Source organism: Homo sapiens, chromosome 11, assembly GCF_000001405.40.
Source record: "Homo sapiens chromosome 11, GRCh38.p14 Primary Assembly".
Lineage (NCBI taxonomy): Eukaryota > Metazoa > Chordata > Mammalia > Primates > Hominidae > Homo > Homo sapiens.
The window spans coordinates 118,562,028-118,584,167 of NC_000011.10; the positions used below are offsets into that span (position 1 = coordinate 118,562,028).

Sequence of the window (22,140 nt, forward strand, 5' to 3'; positions counted from 1 at the left end):
ACTTTGGGAGGCTGAGGCGGGTGGATCACCTGAGGTCAGGAGTTCGAGACCAGCCTGGCCAACATGGTGAAACCCCGTCTCTACTAAAAATACAAAAAAATTAGCCAGGTGTGGTGGCACACTCCTATAATCCCAGCTACTCAGGAGGCTGAGGCAGGAGAATCGCTTGAACCTGGGAGGTTGAGGTTGCAGTGGGCCGAGATCACGCCATTGCACTCCAGCCTGGGCGACAGAGCAAGACTCCATCTCAAAAAAAAAAAAAATTAGCTGGACATGGGGGCATGGGCTGGTAGTCCCAGCTACCGGGGGTTCTGAAGCAGGAGGACTGCATGAGCCCAGGAGGTCGAGGCTGCAGTGAACCGTGATCATGCTACCGCACTCCAGCCTGGGTGACAGAGCAAAACTCTGTCTCTATAAATAAAAAATTAAATTAAAATAAAAGTATAATTAGATGTAAGGCATTAACTGGAATGAAAACATGATAAATGATTTCTATATCAAATAAATGCAAATTAAACCCTTTTTTTATTTACTAAATTAGCCCAAATTAAAAACAAATTATAATATCCACAGCTGTCAAGAGCATAAACACGCTCAAGTCAAAAACCTAGGTGGCTAGGTCCCAAAGAATTGAAAACAGGGACTCAAATGGACACTTGTACACCTCTGTTCATAGCAGTGTTATTCACAATAGCCAAAATATGAAAACAACCCGAGTGTCCATTAACAAATGAATGAATTAAAAAACGTGGCATAGGCTTGGTGCGGTGGCTCACGCCTGTAATCCCAACACTTTGGGAGGCCGAGGTGGGTGGATCACAAGGTCAGGAGATCGAGGCCATCCGGGCCAACATGGTGAAACCCCGTCTCTACTAAGAATACAAAAAATTAGCTGGGTGTGGTGGTGTGCACCTGTAGTCCCAACTACTCAGGAGGCTGAGGCAGGAGAGTCGCTTGAACCCGGGAGGCGTAGGTTGCAGTGAGCCAAGATCGTGCCACTGCACTCCAGCCTGGGTGACAGAGCGAAATTCAGTCTCAAAAAAAAAAAAAAGTGCAATATACATGCAATGGAATATTACTCAGCCTTAAAAAGAAAGTCTACATTCAACAACACAGATGAACCTTAAGAACATCACAATAAGTGAAGTAAGTCAGCCACAAAAGGATAAATACAGTATGATTTCACTTATGTGGTTCCCAGAATAAGCAAACTCATACAGACAGTAGAATAGTGGTTACCAGGGAGGAGTGGAAGCAAGCAATAGGGAACTATTGTTTTGAAGGGTATGGATTTTCTGTTCAGGATGATCTGGAAATAGTGGCGATGGTTAAACAACATTGTGAATGTACTTAATGTTATTTAATTGCACACTTAAAAATTGTTAAAATGGCAAATTTTATGTTATGTATATTTTACCACAATAAACAAACAGAAACCCTGGATGTCATCCTTGATTCCTAACTCGAGTCAAATCCAATCCATCACCAAGTCTTAGTGATTCTGCGACAATGTCTTATACCGTATTTGCCTCTTTTCTTTATTCTCAGCTTCCTCACCAGAGGCCAAGCCACTATCATCTCAACTCAGCCATCACAACAGTCCATTCCACACACGACAGCAACACAGCCTCCAAAGCTCTGCTTATTGTGCTTCCTGCCCTACCTCTCTGATCTGACCATATCATACGGTAGTGTCCCCTCTACCATAAGCTGGTCTCTTTCAGGTCCTCAAACTAAGCCAAGTTCTTTCAGGCTTCAAGGTTTTTCACATCTCACATACTGTTTCCTCTTCCTGGTCTACTTTTCCTCAGTGTCTGGATCCCTGCCATCTATCAGTCTTACATGTCACCCCTTTAGGTCTTCCCTGACCACCCTATCAAAAGTGGGTTTCTGGCCAGGTACGGTGGCTCATACCTGTAATCCCAGCACTTTGGGAGGCCGAGGCAGGTGGATCAGTTGGGGTCAGGAGTTCGAGACCAGCCTGGCCAACATGGTGAAACCCCGTCTCTACTAAAAATACTAAAATTAGCTGGGTGTGGTAATCCCAGCTACTCGGGAGGCTGAGGAAGGAGAATCACTTGAACCCAGGAGGCGGAGATTGCAGTGAGCCAAGATCGCACCACTGCACTCCAGCCTGTGTGATAGAGTGAGACTCTGTCTCAAAAAAAAAAAAAAAAAAAAAAAAAAAGTGGGTCTCCTTCCTCACTGTTATTCTCCTTAACAGCAAACAATCTGCCTCCATCAGTGTGCACTTACCACATTTGGCATGTGTTTACTCATTTGTCATCTGCCTCCCATGATTACCAGCATCGGGATGGCAGGGACATTGTGTCATTTAACACTATTTACCCAAGTGCCAGGCATAAGGCTGGCACACAGTAGGCATTTTAAAATGCTTGTTGGCCAGACACGATGGCTCACACCTATAATCCCAGCACTTTGGGAGGCCAAAGCGGAAGGACTGCTTGAGGCTAGGAGTTCAAGATCAGCCTTGGTAACATAGCGAGGCCTCGTCTCTATAAAATTAAGAAAAAAAAGTTTGTTGAATAAATAAATAGTGTTCAGTCCTTTAAAAACATTCCACTGTGATTTTGGTTGGGGTTGCAGGCTAAGGGGAGGTTATGAAGCATCTTCAAAGCTAGGAAAAACATAAGTTAAAAAAAAAGAAAAGAAAAAGAAAAAGAACAGTGAATTCCTGGCAGACAGTGAGCAAAGCAGTAACATGAAGTAAATGGTGACAGGGTTGGATTGGGGGAAGATCCTGTAATTTGGAAGGCTATGATTTCTCCCCCTTAACTAGTCAGAAAACAAACAATGGCAAGTGAAGTAAATTGACGCTGAAAGTCAACATTTGCTATTATAAAATAAGAACTTCTTGAAGACAACCGTGAATCCATCCTGCTCTTTCAGTAGCATTTCTCTTCTTTCCTCTCTTACCTTGGTGTCTTGGGGTTGGAGTATAAATACTTGCAACCTCTTCGGAGTCGTTAATCTCTAGACGCTCATCATATGTCTGGTTTTCAACAACCTTGGTCTAAGCAAAGGGAGACATAATTCATAGCTCCTATCATGAGACATAAAGCACTCTGCCAGGAGGTATATTCCAAACCAGCATTGGCTCCTCTTCCTTACTCAAGAAACCAGTTTTTCACAAAACCATCACCCCATCCAAACTTTCCTTCAGGCTTCCTGGCCCTCGGTCAAGCAGTTAAGTCATTCTGTTGCAGCCCTTATTTAGGAACTGCTGGCAGGCTGGCTGAGGAACCAGGGAATCGTGGAGGGAAAGAGAGCCAACTTCTGCAGCTTCCCAAAGCTGTACGACCACGCGCAAGGGCAGAACACTATTTGTATGTAGATGGCCAAGGCTGTTGAGGTTTCTCAGGGAAGGCTGTAGAGGTTCTAGAAAGAGTTCTGTCTCTGGAGTCACCTCTGGGGTGGGGTGGGGTGGGGTGGGGTGGGGTGGGGTGGGGTGGGCTGAGGCGGGGTAGGGTGGGAGGGTCCCCGAAGAGAGGGGAAACTCCAGTCTCTCAGTCCCATCCGATAATCCCAAAATCATCACCTCCACTTTCACCCTTATCTTGCAGATAGGATCCCACCTAAGTTTCTTGGGGGAATAAAGGAAGCAGGACGGTTGGTGGTGAGGTGACGAAGGAACAGTTACCACGGAGATTGGAAGAGGTAACCGGGAATGGGGTAAAGGGGAGTCCTCTTAAGCCTCTCTAGAAAGACAGTTCCCTTTTTGCTGGGATGAGTACTAATTACCTGTAGCCCTTCTGAATCCGTCTCCTCTATAATGGAAAGAACCCCAGCCTAGGGCTGGGGTCTCACTCCAGTCTCAAAGCCAGGCCACTTTAGGATTCCACGCCAAGCAACCAGCCTGTTGTCAGTCGCTAGGCAAAAAGATAAATTTTAAAATTCGCGAGAGTTGCTTCCACTCTCGTGAGACCTCCTGCGCGTTAAGCCTCACCCGCGAAGGCTCTCCACGCAGGAAGAAGATCAAGGAGTCACGGATAAAGCCTCTCTGGGCGGCCAAGTCGCCTGTTTGTCTATGGTTTCAGTAAATACGTCTGTTGCGGCATCTAGCGGCTATGGGTGGCAACGCGGCTGATAAATTTCGGGCTGGTGTAGAGTTAGCCCTTCAATCTGGAAACAAGGTGTGCGTTTGTTCCCCTAGGACAACAATCTCTGGGGATGCAGTTGCTCCCAGATCAGTCTTACCAGGATGTAGACACATTCCAGGGGAAATTTCGCAGCACTCTGTAAGTCCTTTTCTAGCACTATATTACACTATAGTCTTTCCCCTCCACAGGGTGCCATGGAATGGAACATACTTATAGCAATAAATTATTCCTTGGGTATCTGAGGTTCAAATTTAACTCTGTGGGCCGGGCGCGGTGGCTCACGCCTGTAATCCCAGCACTTTGGGAGGCCAAGGCGGGCGGATCACGAGGTCAGGAGATCGAGACCATCCTGGCTAACACGGTGAAACCCCGTCTCTACTAAAAAATTCAAAAAATTAGCCGGGCGTGGTGGCGGACGCCTGTAGTCCCAGCTACTCGAGAGGCTGAGGCAGGAGAATGGCATGAACCCAGGAGGCGGAGCTTGCAGGGAGCCGAGATCGCACCACTGCACTCCAGCCTGGGCAACAAAGCGAGACTCCGTCTCAAAAAAAATTTTTTTTCACTCTGTGTCCTGTCTTTCTTATTTGCTAAAGTAGACTTTTAACTTATTTAAAGCAAGACCTGTGTCTAATTAATTTTTAAGCTTTGTAACACCAGTGTATTGCAGAAATTAGACACTAACAATGCTCATTGGGTGGATGAATCGAGGAATGAGTGAATGGAGATGTAAGGAACAAATATTTTCAAACTGTGGACATAATTAATTTGGGAAGTCAGGGAGAGAGAAACATAAAATATTGGAGGCCAGGTGCGGTGGCTCACACCTGTAATCCCAGCACTTCAGGAGGTAGAGGTGGGACGATTGCTTGAGTTCAGGAGTTTGAGACCAGCTAGAGCAACATAGCAAGAACCGCCCCCCTCCACTCTATTAAAAATAAAAAAAAAATTTTTTTTAATTAGCCAGGTGTGGTGGCACGCACCTATAGTGCTAGCCACTCGGGAGGCTGAGGCGGGGGGATTGCTTGAGCCAGGGAGGCAGAGGTTGCAGTGAACCGAGATTGGGCCACTGCATTCACTCCAGCCTGGGCAACAGATCAAGACCCCATCTCAAATATAAATAATGAATAATAACAATAATAATTTTTTGGTCGGGCACGGTGGCTCACGCCTGTAATCCCAGCACTTTGGGAGGCCAAGGTGGGTGGATCACAAGGTCAGGAGTTCAAGACCAGCCTGACCAACATGGTGAAACCCCCGTCTCTACTAAAAATACAAAAATTAGCTAGGCATGGTGGCGCGCGCCTGTAATCCCAGCCACTCAGGAGGCTGCGGCAGGAGAATTGCTTGAACCCGGGAGGTGGAGGTTGTGGTGAGCCGAGATCGCACCACTGCACTCCAGCCTGGGCGACAGGGCGAGACTCCGTCTCAAAATAATAATAATAGCAATACATTTTAAAAAGAAAATAATATTGGAAATTTGACCCTGAAAACCTACCAGAGGTAAACAAGGAAAGTGCCTTTAAAAAATGAGAGACAGCTTTTCTGGCATACTGATAGTTAAAAATAGAACTGCATTTAAAAAAAAATTTGTGATCTGTTTTGCTCGTAATAGTGGATATGTAATGTGCAGTACTTACTATGTAGGAGCACTTAGTTTTTTTGTGGGGAGCACTTAGATTATATCATCTAATTTACTTCACAACCTTATGAGATAGATGTTACTGCCAATCTACAGATTAAGTAATTGAGGCTTAGACAGTTAAAGTAACTTGCCTAAAGTCACTCATAATAAGCGCTGAAAATAGCAGCCAAACACAGGTCAGTCTGATTCCTAAGTCTCTGCTTTTAACCATTATAAGATACTGCCACTATGGGACTCCTCAAGAAGCATGCTTACAGGGTTGCTTTTTCTTCTGTGGTTTAATTCAGCTACCGTTATATTTCCGAAGAAGCAGCATCAACTGGTCTTTGCTGAGCTTCTGAGATCCAAGTTGGAAGCCCTGGAAGGTGCTACAATAAGGCAATAGTTTCTAACAGGATTTTTACTTTTCTAAAAAAATAAGAATTTGTTCCATGTTTCTTAAAATATGTCTGCTTTTTGTAACAAAAATTAAAATTGGGCCAGGTGAAGTGGCTCACGCCTGTAATCCTAGGACTTTGGGAGGCCGAGGCAGGTGGATCACCAGAGGTCAAGAGTTCAAGACCAGCCTGTCCCAACATGGTGAAACCCCCATCTCTACTAAAAATACAAAAATTAGCCAGGTGTGGTGGTGCATGCCTGTAATCCTAGCTACTCAGGAGGCTGAGACAGGAGAATCGCTTGAACCCGGGAGGCGGAGGTTGCAGTGAGTTAAGATGGCACCACTGCATTCTAGCCTGGGCGACAGAGTGAGACTGTCTCAAAATAAATAAATAAATAATAAATAAATAAATAAAAAGTTACCCCATAAATGTGTACAGTTGTTATCTTTTTTAGGACATTTCATCATCCCCTAAAGAAAGTTTGTACCCATTGTCACTTTTTTTTTCTTTTTTTGAGACAGGGTCTCACTCTGTCGCCCAGGCTGGAATACAGTGACGAGACCTCAGCTCACTGCTATCTCTGCCTCGGGGTTCAAGCGATTCTCCCACCGAGTAGCTGGGACTATAGGCATGGGCCACCACGCCCAGCTAATTTTTGTATTTTTAGTAGAGATGGGGTTTCACCATGTTGCTCAGGCTGGTCTGGAATTCCTGACCTCAAGTGATCCGCCCACCTCGGCCTCCCAAAATGCTGGGATTACAGGCGTAAGCCACCGCACCTGGCCAGTGGGTACAAGTATTATGTGTCAATTAGAAAATTTAAAAATAGGCCGGGAGCTGTGGCTCACGCCTGTAATCCCAGCACTCTGGGAGGCTGAGGCAGGCAGATCACTTGAGGTTAGGAGTTCAAGACCAGCCTGGCCATGGTGAAACCCCATCTCTACTAAAAATACAAAAAACTAGCCAGGCGTGGTCGTCCATGCCTGTAATCCCAGCTACTTGGGAGGCTAAGTCAGGAGAATCCCTCCAACCCAGGAGGCAGAGGTTGCAGTGAGCTGAGATCATACCATTGCACTCCAGCCCGGGCAACAAAAGCGAAACTCCTTCTCAAAAAAAAAAAATTTTTTTTTTTAAAATATTGACTGGGCTCAGTGGCTCATTCCTGCAATCCCAGAACTTTGGGGGGACAAGATGGGAGTACTGCTTGAGGTCAGGAGTTCGAGACCAGCCTGGGCAACATAGCAAGACCCCCATCTCTCTAAAAAAGTTTTTTTAATGAAAAAAAACTTTAAAATACAGTTTGACATATATCCTCCCAGACATATAAAATTTAAAAATATTTGAGCTTTCTAAAGATTTCTATTAGAAGGCCATTGGAGATGGAATTGATACGGGTAAGAGCAAGAAGTCTATAATGCAGTGCTTAAGGGTATAGTCCAAAGTTGAACAGCCTTTGTTTGAATCCTCGCTTACCTACTTTTTAGCCATGAGACCTGTGGTGGGATAGTTTTCTTCTCTGTACCTTGATTTCCTCATGTGTAAAATGGAGACAATAAAGGTACCTATCTCAGAGGATTCTTGTGAGGATTAAATGAGATAATCTGTGTGAAGTTAGAGTAATGGCTGGTATGCTGTAAGTGTTCAATAAATGTTAGGGAACACACAGGAGATACAGAGGCAGTGTGTTTTAATGGAAAAAGCTGACTTTGTTTTTTTGTTTGTTTGTTTTGAGACTGAGTGTTACTCTGTTGCCCAGTCTGGAGGGCAGTGTTGTGATCTCAACTCACTGCAACCTCCGCCTCCCAGGTTCAACCAATTCTCATGCCTCAGCTTCCCAGATAGCTGGGAGTACAGGCATGAGACACCACGCCCAGCTTTTTTTTTTTTTTTTTTTTTTTGAGACGGAGTCTCCCTCTGTCGCCACGCTGGAGTGCAGTGGCATGATCTCGGCTCACTGCAACCCAACCTCCGCCTCCTAGCTTCAAGGATTCCCCCACCTCAGCCTCCCGAACAGCTGAGACTACAGGCACGCGCCACCATGCCCAGCTAATTTTTTTTTTTTTGTACTCTTAGTAGAGATGGGGTTTCACCATGTTGGCCAGGATGGTCTCGATCTCTTGACCTTGTGATCCGCCCACCTCAGCCTCCCAAAGTGCTGGGATTACAGGCGTGAGCCACCGCGCCCAGCCAGGAGAAAACTGACTTTGAACTTGGCTCTACCACTTACTAGTTGTGTGAGTTTGGACAAATGCTTAACTTTTTTGATCCTCAGTATCTTTATTTGGATTGATGTAAAAGATTGGAAATAACATGTGTAAAGTACCTGACACAAATGAAGCACTCAATTAAAAGTTGCTATTATACTTAATTGTGGACATACAGGTTTAATATGGATGAGTGCTGTTCGGTTGAGCTAAGGATGTAGGATAAAATGATTTAAGGAAGAACTACTGAATCAGCTATACTCTGAAAAATCTGAAATTTGGCATACAAGAAATAACATGAGAATCACAAGAACAGATTTTGAGTCTTGGTTCCATCATATACTGGTTTAGAAACTTTGGGTAAGTCACTTAAACTTTTCACCATTTTCTTCATATACAAAATGGACATGAGCACAACTGCCCTGCTTCCAGTGCATGTTTTTTTAAAGATATAATTTACAAATCATAAAAATTCACCTTTTAAAATTATACAATTTAGTGGTTTTTAGTATATTTGCCTCTATCTAGTTCCAGAACTATTTTTTTTTTAAGAGTCTAAGTCTCACAATTTGCACAGGCTGACCTTTAACCCCTGGTCTCAAGCCATCCTCCCAACTCAGCCTCCCAAGTAGCTGGGACTCTAGGATCATGCCACCATGCCTGGCTTAATTCCAGAATGTTTTAATTATTCCAGAAATAAATCTTACACTAATTAACTGTCACTCTCTATTCCTACCCTTCCTGAGCCCCTGGAAATCACTAAGCTAGTTTCTGTCTCTGTGGATTTTCTTCTATTCTGGATCTTTCGTATTAATGGAATCATATATGAGTGCCCCATTGTATCCGTCTTTTTTCACATAATATTCTCAAGGTTCATCCATATTGTAGCATGTCAGTACTTTATTCCTTTTTGTGACTAAATAATATTCCATTGCATATATATGCCACATCTATTGATGAATGGATTTGTTTGGATTGTCTCCACTTTTTGGCTACTATGAATAATGCTGCTATGAACATTAGAGTACACATTTTTGTGTTGACATATATTCAGTTCTCCTGGGTATGTACCTATGAGTGGAATTGCTCAGTCATGTGGTAATTTTGTTTAACTTTTTGAGGAACTGCCAAACTCTTTTCCAACGTGGCTGCACTATTTTACATTCATCCTCACCAACAATTATTATGATAGCCATCCTAGTGAGTGTGAAATGACGTCTCACCACGGGTCTGATTTCCATTTCCCTAAGGATATTCAACATTTCTTAATGTGCATATTAGCCATTTATATATCTTCTTTGGACACATATCTATTCAAATCTTTTGCTCATTTTAATTTTGTGTTTTCTACTCCCTCCATTTTGCAGATGAAGCCCATTTTTAGACAGGAATACTGTATTTGTCTTTTTATTGCTGAGTTATAAGAGTTCTTAGGCCAGGCGCGGTGGCTGACGCCTGTAATCCCAACATTGGGAGGCTGAGGCGGGCGGATCACTTGGGGTCAGAAGTTTGAGGCTAGCCTGGCCGACATGGTGAAACCCCGTCTCAACTAAAAATACAAAAAACAGCCGAGCGTGGTGTGGCGCGTGCCTGTAATCCCAGCTACTCCGGAGGCTGAGGCAGAAGAATCGCTTGAACCTGGGAAGTGGAGGTTGCAGTGAGCCGAGATCACGCCATTGCACTCCAGCCTGGGCGACAGAGTGAGACTCCATCTCAAAAAAAAAAAAAAAAAGTTCTTTATATATTCCGGATACTGGTCTTTTAGGCACACAGGTTATCCTGTATATTAAATAATAGTGGCTGTGCCAGCGGCTTGTTAAACTGTAAGATGTGACGCAAAATAAATGAAGGCGATGACAGTGAAAGGGGAGAGATACGAGGTTCCACAGCTGGAGGGTGAACGCCCCCTACACCTCCTGGGCTTAATCGTAACCGGAGCGGGGTACCCTCAATTTCCCCAGCCCACAGGCCCCGCCCCCCCCCCCGCCCTTTGACCTGCGCCGCTTCCGGTTGAAGACGTGGCTTGGGGCCGCCATCTTGGCAAGAGGCGAAGCGGCAGCGGTTCCTGTCAAGGGGGCAGCAGGTCCAGAGCTGCTGGTGCTCCCGTTCCCCAGACCCTACCCCTATCCCCAGTGGAGCCGGAGTGCGGGCGCGCCCCACCACCGCCCTCACCATGGTAAGATCCGAGCCAGGACCCGAACTCCTGGGGTCCGAGCCTCACCGTCTCTCCTTGTCGGCGGGCCTGGGGCAGGGGCCGGAGGAGCCCCGCCCTGAGGGTCTAGGGCAGAGTGCTTTTGCTCCGGGCTCGGGGAGCAGTGTGGCCTCCTGTGCCCGGTCTCCTGGAGATCCGATGGAGCTGACTCCAGTCCATCTGTCGTCGTGCCCGCTTCCGCACCACCCCCCAACCAGCTGGACTCCCTCGTTTGCTGGGACCTGCCCCTGAGACGGCCCGGCGTTTTTGCTCTGCGAGAACTTCGTGGTGGTGGTGCGGGTCCCAGGCTGCGGACCTCGGAACTGATGCTGTCCCGCCGGTTCCCTGGCGCTTAGGCTCAGCAGGCTGGGCCTGTCTCCGGAGGTTCTGGTCCTTCTGTTAATCAGAGCTTGTCTCCCACCCCCGGTGTTTGCTAGGCCGTTGATAACTCGAAATGCAAATCCACTGGTGTCCAGAAATTTTTCTTTTTGTTCAGAAGGGGGAAATGGAGACACAGAGCGGAAAGGAGTAACTTCTAACACTAATGTATAGGACCCAAGTGTCTCTGAAACCTTCCACTACTTCCGCAGAACTCACTTGTGTCCATTTGTTAGTGTGACTCGGGGTACATACACTGTGTAGACCACTGGGAAAATGTGAGCAGGTTCCAGAGAACACAGGGTTTGCCTTCAAGGAACTTATTGTCCAGGTGAAGAAAAATGTGTATGTGGCATGTCGTAGTCAGATGTCTCACAGGAGGTGGAGTAAGAGGGATGGGTTAGCCTCCGAGACCAGTTACTTGCCTTCCCATGCGTTATCTTTGTATACTCATCTGTTACAAGGATGAGAAAGGTTAATGTGGTTGAGGATGGAGGAAATCAGAACTGCTGACATCACTCAATCTTCCTTTATCGCTGTGATTTGTGGATATTCATGAAGTAGTAGACATTCTTTGGTTTCAAAAAAGCTAGTAATTTATTTTTCAGTGCACCTTATGTCCTTTAGTCTTTTGAAGGATGTTCTGTTCTGTTCTTTTTTATTCTTTTGTCAATAGATAACTTGATTTAAAACATCGTCCAGTGTACCTGAGAGATGGCAGAATGTAATTTGGTGGCAATCCTAATAAGTTCTATTGACAACCCTTTAGATAAGAACTTGGATAATGGGGGGAATTCATGCTTGGACTTTAGGCCACTGAACAGCTTTTCTCAGCCTCAGGTATATAAATTGCATCAAACAGGTTTGCCTCCTAAAATTTTTGTGTTGGACACAAAATTTCCAGAAACTTGTATTTTCAGTTTCTCCAGGAGGTTCTGTATTTGGTTAGTGATTTTGAAACTCAGTTCCCGTTTACACCCTGGAATTAATAATGCATTTTAGAGCATATTTTTATTTTAATAGTAAAGTTAAGGTCTTGTATTATATAAACCAGATAAAGGTAATCTTTCTAAAAATATTCTTTGTTAAAAGGTTCTTGGAACTTAGTATTTTTAATTCATTGATAACTGAGGGATGGTAAAGCCCTACGTGATATATATAAAATATAACTTTTGCATGCTATTTTGACATGTGTACGTATACATAGAGTTGTGTCACATATTTCTGAATTATTTGGGACTTAACATGATCCAGATACCCACAGATTTGTGTACTCTGGAGAACAATTTATCTCAGTACATTCTGCTCTGTAGAGTGTTAAGACATTGGTATGATTTCTGTGTAATGTTTTTGGGTCCTGCTCCTTTACAAACAGATCCCTGGACAGTAGAAATGTCCAGATAGGGTGAAATTTTTATCTAAAAGTTGTATCAAAATTTCCAGCGTTTATTTTAGCTCAACATTTCATTATGAAATTTTCCAACATCTGGAAAAGTTGAAAGAACTTTGTAGTGAATACCCATATAACCACCAACTAGATTCTATAACTAACATTTCACTATATTTTATCATGCATCTAATCATCCATCCATCCCTCTCTCCATTAAAAAAAAATATACATTTCAAAGTAAGTTGCAGATATCAGTACGTAAACATTGATTTTTTAAAAAATAAATTCCCTTTGGCTTTAGTTATTGAAGTGCAGAATGTCCTAGACTGCAAAGTTCCAATAGATAAATAAGTGAACAAATGCAGAAACAAATGCTTTCTCATGACTTCATCATAAAATAAAGTACAAAGAAAGGCATCTTTTGATTTTTTTTTTTTAAAGAGACAGGGTCTCACTATGTTGCCCAGGCTGGAGGGCAGTAGCTATTCACAGGCGCTATCATAGTGCACTGCGGCCTAGAACTCCTAGCCTCAAGCAATCCTCCCGCCTCCATATCCCAAGTAGCTGGGACTGTAGGCATGCGGGCCTTGATTTGATCTTTTTTTTGTATTCTGCAAATTAATGAGAACATGTTCTGACTTTTTTTCTTGTTTGTTTGGTTTTCGAGACGGATTCTCGCTCTGTCTCCAGGCTGGAGTGCAGTGGCACAATCTCAGCTCACTGCAACTTCTGCCTCCCGGGTTCAAGCTATCCTCCTGCCTCAGCCTCCTGAGTAGCTGGGACTGCAGGCGCCTGCCACCACGCCCAACTACTTTTTTGTATTTTTAGTAGATACGGGGTTTCACCATGTTAGCCAGGATAGTCTCGATCTCCTCACCTCGTGATCTGCCCGCCTCGGCCTCCCAAAGTGCTGGGATTATAGGTGTGAGCCATGGCGCCCGGCCCCTGTATTATTTATGTATCTTTTTAATTGTGTTTTGAGGGACAGCAAAGAAAGAAAATGATTCTCTTGAGTTTCCATTGATTTGCCATCTATTTATGTCTTCATATAGAAGTTCACTGCAGAAACTGATAACGGGTGTGTGTGTGTGTGTGTGTGTGTGTTTTAATTCTCTGCAAGCTTTTGTTTTAGAATAGAAATGTGATGGACTTAAAACCCTCACTGAGTAAATTACTTTTCAAGTTTTAGGTTTCGTATGTGGTCTACATTTTATTGTAATCTTCTCTCTGATTTTATCTATAATAGCTTCATATAAATAGAAAAGACAGAACAGTCCTCCCTGACAATTATAGAAACTAGCCTTAATATGACCATGAATTGTGTGTGCATGTATATGTGTATAAAATATTGCGGTGAATTACAAAGGAGAAGGTGACTATAATTCTGGAAGTAAGGGATCCTGAAGCATTTAGAGATTCAAGAAAGAACTTGACTTTTTTTGAGAGAGAGTTGTGCATATTTATCCTGAATTATTATACCACCTGTTATTCTTGTATCTCTCTTGCACACACAATTTGTTATGGTTAGACAATTTGCCTTCTGGCAGCCTAATGTTACTATAAAATATTGTTCCAAAGTGGTTAGAACTGGAGCAGTGGGTATAAAATGGAAGTATTGTACATTTTCTGTCACTGTAGTTGTTTTTTTTTTTTTCTGTTACTGTAGTTTTCAAATGCTTAGACTTACAGAACTTTAAAGACACAGAGCACTTTGGATTTCATGTAAACTAACCTCCTATGTTAGGGATATTTCAATAATCAATTAAGTGACTTATCCAAGGTCACATAATTAGTGGCAAAGGCAGAACAGAAACCTAATTCTCCAGGTTTTTTTACTTGAGGCACTTAACAATTCATGTAGTTAAGTCTGTGTAGGAGAGAGTTGTTATTTAGTCCAAAGATAGTGTACTCAAACCATGTAAGAATTATTAAAAGTTGTTTGGCAAAGCTCAACTTTATGAGGGAATTTTTTTTTTTTTTAACCGTCCTGGAGAGATCATCTAACTTATGGGCCCTCAGTTTTCACATCTGTAAGACAATCAAGGGCTCTTGCAAGTTCCTTTTAGATCTGGAATGTTTTTTCCAAAAATGTTAAAAAAAAAAAAAAAAAAAAAAACCAAAAACTTTGTAATCATATTTATTAATTCTTCCTCAGAGAAAATCAGATCAAATTTCAATAGGGAAAATTGTTAACTTACCTTTTAGTATATGCTATATTTTAATAATTGTTAAACCAGTAAACATTAATGTAAAGAGGTTTATTATTTCAAGAACTTTAAGAAGACAAATGTTAATTTAGGATAGGATAAATTTATCATGTTTAGAGGTGACCATACCTTCTAGCCATATTAGTAGCTGTAACAGAGAGACCTGTGTCAACTGCCTGGAACCTGTAATTTGTGGTGTCCTGGGTGTTCGGAGATTTATGCTATACTTAGTATGGGGAACTATGGTCCTATTTTGGAAGCCTTGTTTTGCTTGTATCTGGATAATGGAATGACTCAAAGAGAGACATATGATTTTACCCTACTTCTTTCTTCATCTTGACGTACTGAAAGCCTGGAATTCTGGCCAGGTGTGGCGGCTCATGCCTGTAATCCCAGCACTTTGGGAGGCTCAGGCGGGCAGATCACTTGAGGTTGGGAGTTTGAGACCAGCCTGGGCAACATGGCAAAACCCTGTCTCTACAGAAAAATACAAAAAATTAGCCAGGTGTGGTGGCCTGTGCCTGTAGTCCCAGATACTTGGGAGGCTGAGGTGGGAGAATCACCTGAGCCCAGAAGGTTGAGGCTGCACTGAGCCAAGATCACGCCACTGCACTACAGCTTGGGCAATAGAGCAAGACTCTGTTTCAAAACAAACAAATCCTGGAATTCATCAAAGCATGATCTAAATTCTGTTTCTTTCTTTCTTTCTTTCTTTTTTTTTTTTGAGGCAGAGTCTCACTTTGTAGCCCAGGCTGGAGTGAAGTGGTATGATCTTGGCTTACTGCAACTTCCGCCTCCCAGGTTCAAGCAATCCTCCCACCTCACTCTCCCCGTAGCTGGGACTACAGACGTGCACCACCAGACTTGGCTAATTTTTTGTATTTTTTGGTAGAGACAGGGTTTTCCCATGTTGACCAGGCTGGTCTCGAACTCCTGACCTCAGGTGATCTGCCTGCCCTGGCTCCCAAAGTGCTGGATTAAGGCATGAGCCACCGCTCCCGGCCTAAATGCTGTTTCTTCTATCAAGTCATCCCTGACTGTACCAGCTGGAAGTAATCTCTTCCTCTGAATTTCCACGCACTTTATCGGTTACTCTCTCATGTTACTTAACACATTCTGCCTCATATTACAGTTATTTGTGTTTGTGTCTTATCCCTATTAAGCTTCTTGTAGGCAGAATGCTAGCCTGTGTCATCTTAATTCTCAGAAAGCATGTTGTATGTATAGTAGATGTTCGATAAATAATTACTCAGTTAATTCTTATAATATCGCAAAAATGGAGATTACCAGTACCTATAATTAGTTTTTGAACATGCTCATCAGTAAAGTGGATGGGCCAGGTGCAGTGGCTCACTCCTGTAATCCCAACACTTTGGAGGCCAAGGCGCGCAGATGACTTGAGGCCAGGAGTTGGAGACCAGCCTGCCCAACATGGCAAAACCCTGTCTCTATTAAAAATAGAAAAATTAGCCAGGCTTGGTGGTGCTGGCCTGTGCCTGTAGTCCCAGTTACTCAGGAGGCTGAGGCATGAGAATTGCTTGAACTCAGGAGGCAGAGCTTGCAGTGAGCCAAGATGGCACCACTGCACTCCAGCCTGGACTACAGAGTGAGACACTCTCTCAAAAAATAAATAAATAAATAAATAAATAAATAAATAAATAAATAAATAAATAAAGTGGATAGTAACATACACCTTTTTGTTCCTTTTTCCCTCTCAAGTTGCTTTTGATGTTTTTACCTAAATTTTACTTGTATGGTATAGAGGTGTTTTTAACTCCAGTTGGAAACCTAAGAACTACCCTTGAGCCTGTAAACATTGTTTCTAACAGGTTTATTATTAGATATGGGGTTTCTATTAAATGCAGCATGTTTATATAGGTCTGAAGTTTTGGTCTGAGCTGTCCTTTCTTTAGGTGTTCATTTGATTTGTCTTATTTCTTCAAAACCTCATAAAATTCTAACATAGAGGACCATGACTTCCTAGAGCTATGACTCTCAACCTTTTAGGGATAGGAGGCTCTACAGGGATTACATTTACAATATGCTCCCATTTATTAATAATATTTCTCATCGCATGAGGGGATTTTCTATGGGCCATTTGAAATAACTTCTCTAGAGGATCGATGCATTCCCTGAAACTGTATGTAAAATTTTGGGGGGAGAGTCAATATTCATTATTTGAATATCAAAATATTGACAAAGGCAAAAATCCATTGCCTTGGCCGGATGCTGTGGCTCACACTTGTAATCCCAGCACTTTGGGAGGCTGAGGTGTGCGGATCACTTTAGCCCAGGAATTTGTAGCCTGGGCAACATGGCAAAACCCCGTCTCTCTTTTTTTTTTTTTTTTTTTTTTTTTTTTTTTTAATAAAAAAAGAAAAATCCATTACCTTGAAGTGGCATAAATTTTTTTCATGAGATGCATGTTTATTATTACTAATGGTGCTGTTTTACATCATGAATATATGTGCTACAAGTTGTATAGCACTTCTGAAGTACAGTTTCATTATAGTCATTTGGCCCTCATAATAGCTTGTAAGGTCATTAGATAATGCTGCATTTTATAGGAAAAGAAACGAGGTTAAGAGAGGTTGGGTAACTGAAGGTCAGGCAGATAGTAAATAGAAGAACAAAACTAGAAAATAGATTTTCTCACTCCCAGTCATTTAGTTTTTCTAATATCAGCTTGGTTCTTTGCAAATTTGGGACACTAGTTCTAAGTCTTTAGGAAAAGGAGAAACCAATGTGAAATGATCCCAAATATAAGGGAATTCCCTACTTTTCTGATGAAACTATTAAGAAGGAAAGCTTTTTGCCAATTGTATAAACTTTTTAAAATGCAGCCAAAATAGGCCGGGCGGTGGCTCATGCCTGTAATCTCAGCACTTTGGGAGGCCGAGGTGGGCAGATCACCCGAGGTCAGGCATTTGAGACCAGCCTGGCCAACCAACATGGTGAAACCCCATCTCTACTAGAAATACAAAAAAAAAAAAAAAAATTAGCCGGGCGTGGTGGCAGGCGCCTGTAATCCCAGCTACTCGGGAGGCTGAGACAGGAGAATCACTTGAACCTGGGAGGTGGAGGTTTCAGTGAGCGGAGATCTTGCCATTGCACTCCAGCCTGGGCAACAAGAGCAAAACTCCATCTTAAAAAAAAAAAAGGTAGCAAAAATAGTCAAATATGTTCTTAAAATAGTTAATAATTCACTTATATGTATATGTTTTAAATAAATAAAGTTTAATTTAGAAATAATTACTTTTTTCCATTTTCATATTAATAAAACAATTTTTTCTAGATTCTTTATGAACATCATGTCATCACTGGGGCCACTTTTTGAATCATCAGTTTGGTATTTAGCAGTTTTGAATCCATGTGTGATATATTGGCAGTTTGGGAAATTTTATCCCAAGTCATAAAAACCCATTTATATAATATTAGGATAGTTGCTTTTAAAAGGAATATTTTGTAACTGATATTCAACACATGAAATTGTGAGTTCTGGCTAGGCGTGGTGACTCATGCTTGTAATCCCAGCACTTTGGGAGGCCAAGGTGGGCTGATCACTTGAGTCCAGAAGTTCAAGACCAGCCTGGGCAACATGGTGAAACCCCACTTCTACCGAAAATACAAAAATTTGCCAGGCATGATGGCACCTGCCTATAGTCCCAGCTCCTTTCAGGGGGCTGAGGCAGGAGGATTGTTCAAGCCCAGAAGTTGAGGCTACGGTGAGCCAAGATTGCACCATTACAGTCCAGCTTAGGTGACAAAGTGAGACCCTGTCTCCAAAAAAAAAGAAAGAAATTGTGAATTCTGATCCTCAGGATAATTACTAAATCCAGTGACCTTTTGTTAGTACTACATGCAAAACTAGCGTAGTTTGAAGATAAGATGTATCCCAGACAATTATTTTAGTTCAATATAAAGTCATTGAGGGAGCACCTTTAATATGAGAGACTATGGAAGGATTCAAAACTACACAACTCTTTTTTAAAAATATATAAGTATTCCTTACATAAAAATATATTACCATGATAGCATATTTTCACACCTAAAAAATTAGCAATAATTTTTAATATTATCAATTATTCAGTCACTGTTCAAATTTGATTTATACATTGTGATTGATTGACATGTCTAAGTCTCTTAATGTGTTTGTATTTTTAGTAGAGATGGGGTTTCACCATGTTGGTCAGGCTGGTCTCGAACTCCTGACCTCAAGTAATCCACTCGCTTTGGCCTCCCAAAGTGCTGAGTTTACAGGTGTGAGCCACTGTGCCCGTGAAAGTCAGTATTCTATTACTTGTCATGTCAGCTGGTCGTGGTAGTTCACGCCTATAATCCCAGCACTTTGGGAGGCCAAGGCAGGAGGATCGCTTGAACCCAGGAGTTCAAGACCAGCCTGGGAAACATAGCGAGATACTGTCTCTACTAAAAGCTTTTTAAAAATTAGCGAGGCTTGGTGGCACACACTTGTAGTCCCAGCCACTCAGGATTTCTTGAGCCCAGGAGTTTGAGGTTGTAGTGAGCTGTGGTCTTGCCATTGCACTCCGGCATGGGTGACAGAGTGAGACCCTGTCTTAAAAATAATACTACTACTAGTCATGTCACTAAATAAATATGTCATTCTATGGAACATTTCCTGAGATGCTGAGAAAACAGATGTGAAGAAATAATTAGTACTTACTTATGCATATGTTCCTGGCAGGTGCTGTTGGCAGCAGCGGTCTGCACAAAAGCAGGAAAGGCTATTGTTTCTCGACAGTTTGTGGAAATGACCCGAACTCGGATTGAGGGCTTATTAGCAGCTTTTCCAAAGCTCATGAACACTGGAAAACAACATACGTTTGTTGAAACAGAGAGTGTAAGATATGTCTACCAGCCTATGGAGAAACTGTATATGGTACTGATCACTACCAAAAACAGCAACATTTTAGAAGATTTGGAGACCCTAAGGCTCTTCTCAAGAGTGGTAAGAGTACTGCTATAATACTGGGTTCCACTTTTTGTTTTACATTTTATGTGAAACTAGTTTTTCCTCCAAAGCAGCTGATGCTAACCAGTTTGCAGGTTCCTACTCCGCACCCCAGCGACTTATTGCTGCAGCACCTTGTTTATTCAGCAGACATTTATTGGGTGTCCTCTTAGACTATAGATGTCTCAAAAGAATATGGGAACTACTGTTTCATTTCCCAGTTCTTAAGCAGTTGTTCTAATCTGCCGTTCTAGTTCTGACACTTGTTTGGCTATGCTTTTTAGGTAATGTTTTTTAGGTAAGACTTACTGATCCAGAGACAGACACACACACACACACCCCTCTTCTAAGACTTTATGCCAAAGTCTTGCTTAAAATGAAGACTTAGGTAAGACTTACTGATCCAGAGACAGACAGACAGACAGACACACACACACACACACACACACACACACCTTTTAAGACTTTATGCCAAAGTCTTGCTTAAAATGAAGGCTAAGGCCAGGTGCGGTAGCATGTGCCTGTAGTCCAAGCTACTCAGGAGGCTGAGGCAGAAGGATTGCTTGAGGCCAGGAGTTCAAGTGCACAGGCATTATACTTTAGTGTGGGCAACACAGCAAGACCCTGATTCTTTTTTTTTTAAAGACGGAGTCTCGCTCTTGCCCTGGCTGGAGTGCAGTGGTGCAATGGTGCAATCTCGGCTCACTGCAACCTCCACCTCCCAGGTTCAAGCAATTTTCTGGCCTCAGCCTCCCGAGTAGTTGAGATTACAGATGTGCATCGCCATGCCTGGCTAATTTTTGTACGGGGTTTCACCATGTTGGCCAGGCTGGTCTCGAACTCCTGACCTCAGGTGATCTGCCTATCTTGGCGTCCCGAAGTGCTGGGATTACAGGCATGAGCCGCTGCACCCGGCTGTAAGAATCAGGGTCTTGGGCGTGGTGGCTCACGCTTGTAATCCCAGCACTTTGGGAGGCTGAGGCGGGTGGATCACCTGAGGTCAGAAGTTTGAGACCAGCCTGACCAACGTGGTGAAACCTCGTCTCTACTCAAAATACAAAAAAATTAGCTGGGCATGGTGGCGGGCACCCATAATCCTACTACTCAGGAGGCTGAGGCATGAGAATTGCGTGAACCCAGGAGGTGGGGGTTGCAGTGAGCCGAGATCGTGCCACTGCACTCCAGACCGGGTGACAGAGTTAGACTTTGTCTTAAAAAAAAAAAAAAAAAAAAAATCAGGGAGTTAGGCTGGGCGCAGTGGCTCACGCCTGTAATCCCAGCAGTTTGGGAGACTGAGGCAAGCGGATCACCTGAGGTCAGGAGTTCAACACCAGCCTGGCCAACATGGTGAAACCCCGTCTCTACTAAAAATACAAAAATTAGCTGGGCGTGGTGGTACACACCTGTAGTCCCAGCTACTCCGGAAGCTGAGGCAGGAGAATCACTTAAACCCAGGAGATGGAGGTTGCAGTGAGCCGAGATGGCACCACTGCACTCCAGCGTGGGCAGCAGAGCGAGACTCTGTCCCAAAAAATAAAATAAAGACTAGAAGTAGCTAATAAAGGGATTTAGGTTATTGAAATTTATGTACTCTAAAGGATAAGACTTGGAAATATAGCTGCTGATAAATTCTAAATCTTTCTTTTTTATTGGTGTCCACGCTTAGATCCCTGAATATTGCCGAGCCTTAGAAGAGAATGAAATATCTGAGCACTGTTTTGATTTGATTTTTGCTTTTGATGAAATTGTCGCACTGGGATACCGGGAGAATGTTAACTTGGCACAGATCAGAACCTTCACAGAAATGGATTCTCATGAGGAGAAGGTGTTCAGAGCCGTCAGAGAGGTAAATAGGATCTTCTCTGGGACTACCTGTTTGTATGTCTTTCTCTTAGGCTTCACTAATCTCATTTTCCTATTTTTACTTACTAATGTAGACTGTATTCAAAACTATGTCCAGGCTAGGCACAGTGGCTCATGTCTGTAATCTCAGCACTTTGGGAGGCGGAAGTGGGAGTATCACTTGAGTCCAGGAGTTCAAGACCAGACTGGACAGCGTAGTGAGACCCTGTCTCTATAAAAAGTAAAAAAAAAATTAGCCAGGCATGGTAGCACGTGCATGTGGGTCCCAGCTACTTGGGAGGCTGAGATGGGAGGATCACTTGAGCCCAGGAAGTTGAGGCTGCAGTGAGCTGTGATTGTGCCACTTGCACTCCAGCCTGGGTCACAGAGTGAGACCCTGTCTCAACAAAAACCCAAAAAAAAAAGCTACATTAATGTATGTCTTTTTCTGTAGACTCAAGAACGTGAAGCTAAGGCTGAGATGCGTCGTAAAGCAAAGGAATTACAACAGGCCCGAAGAGATGCAGAGAGACAGGGCAAAAAAGCACCAGGATTTGGCGGATTTGGCAGCTCTGCAGTATCTGGAGGCAGCACAGCTGCCATGATCACAGAGACCATCATTGAAACTGATAAACCAAAAGTGGCACCTGCACCAGCCAGGTATAATCCAGTGTACTTTAGAATACCAGGTGAAGGGTGTATATGTGTCTATCTTTGAAGTCATAATCTGATTTCTTGGAAAGCTGTAAATAAAGAAGGACTTGATGAAGTAAGATATGATGTTACATTTGGCCACATACAATATGAGGATAA

At 43.1% G+C, this 22,140-nt stretch overlaps 2 protein-coding genes and 1 long non-coding RNA gene across 21 annotated transcripts in view, besides 3 other annotated features; 2 read left to right on the forward strand and 1 right to left on the reverse strand.

Moving 5' to 3' along the window:
• IFT46 (intraflagellar transport 46) overlaps positions 1 to 14,871 on the reverse strand; it is a 32,356-nt gene extending 17,485 nt beyond the window's left edge. For 2 of the 6 annotated variants that reach the window (XM_011542906.4, XM_011542905.4), the window contains exons 1-2: positions 10,569 to 14,871; positions 2,938 to 3,034 (exon numbers count right to left, since the gene is read on the reverse strand). The gene's annotated coding sequence lies outside the window, so the exon portion shown is untranslated. Of the gene's footprint in view, positions 1 to 2,937; positions 3,035 to 3,762; positions 3,905 to 10,568 lie in introns of those variants that run through there. The other 4 variants (NM_001168618.2, NM_020153.4, XM_017018018.3 and 1 more) reach the window with 2 other exon arrangements.
• On the forward strand, positions 3,034 to 6,572 carry LOC124902764 (uncharacterized). 2 transcript variants are annotated; one of them, XR_007062907.1, is made up of 4 exons: positions 3,034 to 3,347; positions 3,585 to 3,678; positions 4,175 to 4,259; positions 6,051 to 6,572. It is a non-coding gene; the product is annotated as an uncharacterized LOC124902764 (long non-coding RNA). The 2 variants fall into 2 exon arrangements; XR_007062906.1 differs by lacking the exon at positions 3,034 to 3,347 and having other exon boundaries at positions 3,479 to 3,678.
• Positions 3,947 to 4,176: an enhancer, noted in NCBI's record as "active region_5593". NCBI's record gives its function as "activates an Ori minimal core promoter by ATAC-STARR-seq in GM12878 lymphoblastoid cells {active_cell/tissue: GM12878}" and the evidence as "EXISTENCE:reporter gene assay evidence [ECO:0000049][PMID:35858748]".
• Positions 10,044 to 10,173: an enhancer, noted in NCBI's record as "active region_5594". NCBI's record gives its function as "activates an Ori minimal core promoter by ATAC-STARR-seq in GM12878 lymphoblastoid cells {active_cell/tissue: GM12878}" and the evidence as "EXISTENCE:reporter gene assay evidence [ECO:0000049][PMID:35858748]".
• Positions 10,382 to 22,140, forward strand: part of ARCN1 (archain 1 coat protein complex I subunit delta) — a 30,625-nt gene continuing 18,866 nt past the window's right edge. For 6 of the 13 annotated variants that reach the window (NR_189132.1, NR_189131.1, NM_001425073.1 and 3 more), the window contains exons 1-4: positions 10,382 to 10,523; positions 19,219 to 19,482; positions 21,152 to 21,331; positions 21,782 to 21,987. Coding sequence is in view for 11 of the 13 variants with exons in the window: in NM_001425073.1 (NP_001412002.1) it covers positions 10,521 to 10,523; positions 19,219 to 19,482; positions 21,152 to 21,331; positions 21,782 to 21,987 (653 nt within the window). In the remaining 2 variants the exon portion in view is untranslated. Of the gene's footprint in view, positions 10,524 to 11,592; positions 11,757 to 19,218; positions 19,483 to 21,151; positions 21,332 to 21,781; positions 21,988 to 22,140 lie in introns of all 13 variants that reach the window. The other 7 variants (NM_001425074.1, NM_001425079.1, NM_001142281.2 and 4 more) reach the window with 5 other exon arrangements.
• Positions 10,684 to 10,763: an enhancer, noted in NCBI's record as "active region_5595". NCBI's record gives its function as "activates an Ori minimal core promoter by ATAC-STARR-seq in GM12878 lymphoblastoid cells {active_cell/tissue: GM12878}" and the evidence as "EXISTENCE:reporter gene assay evidence [ECO:0000049][PMID:35858748]".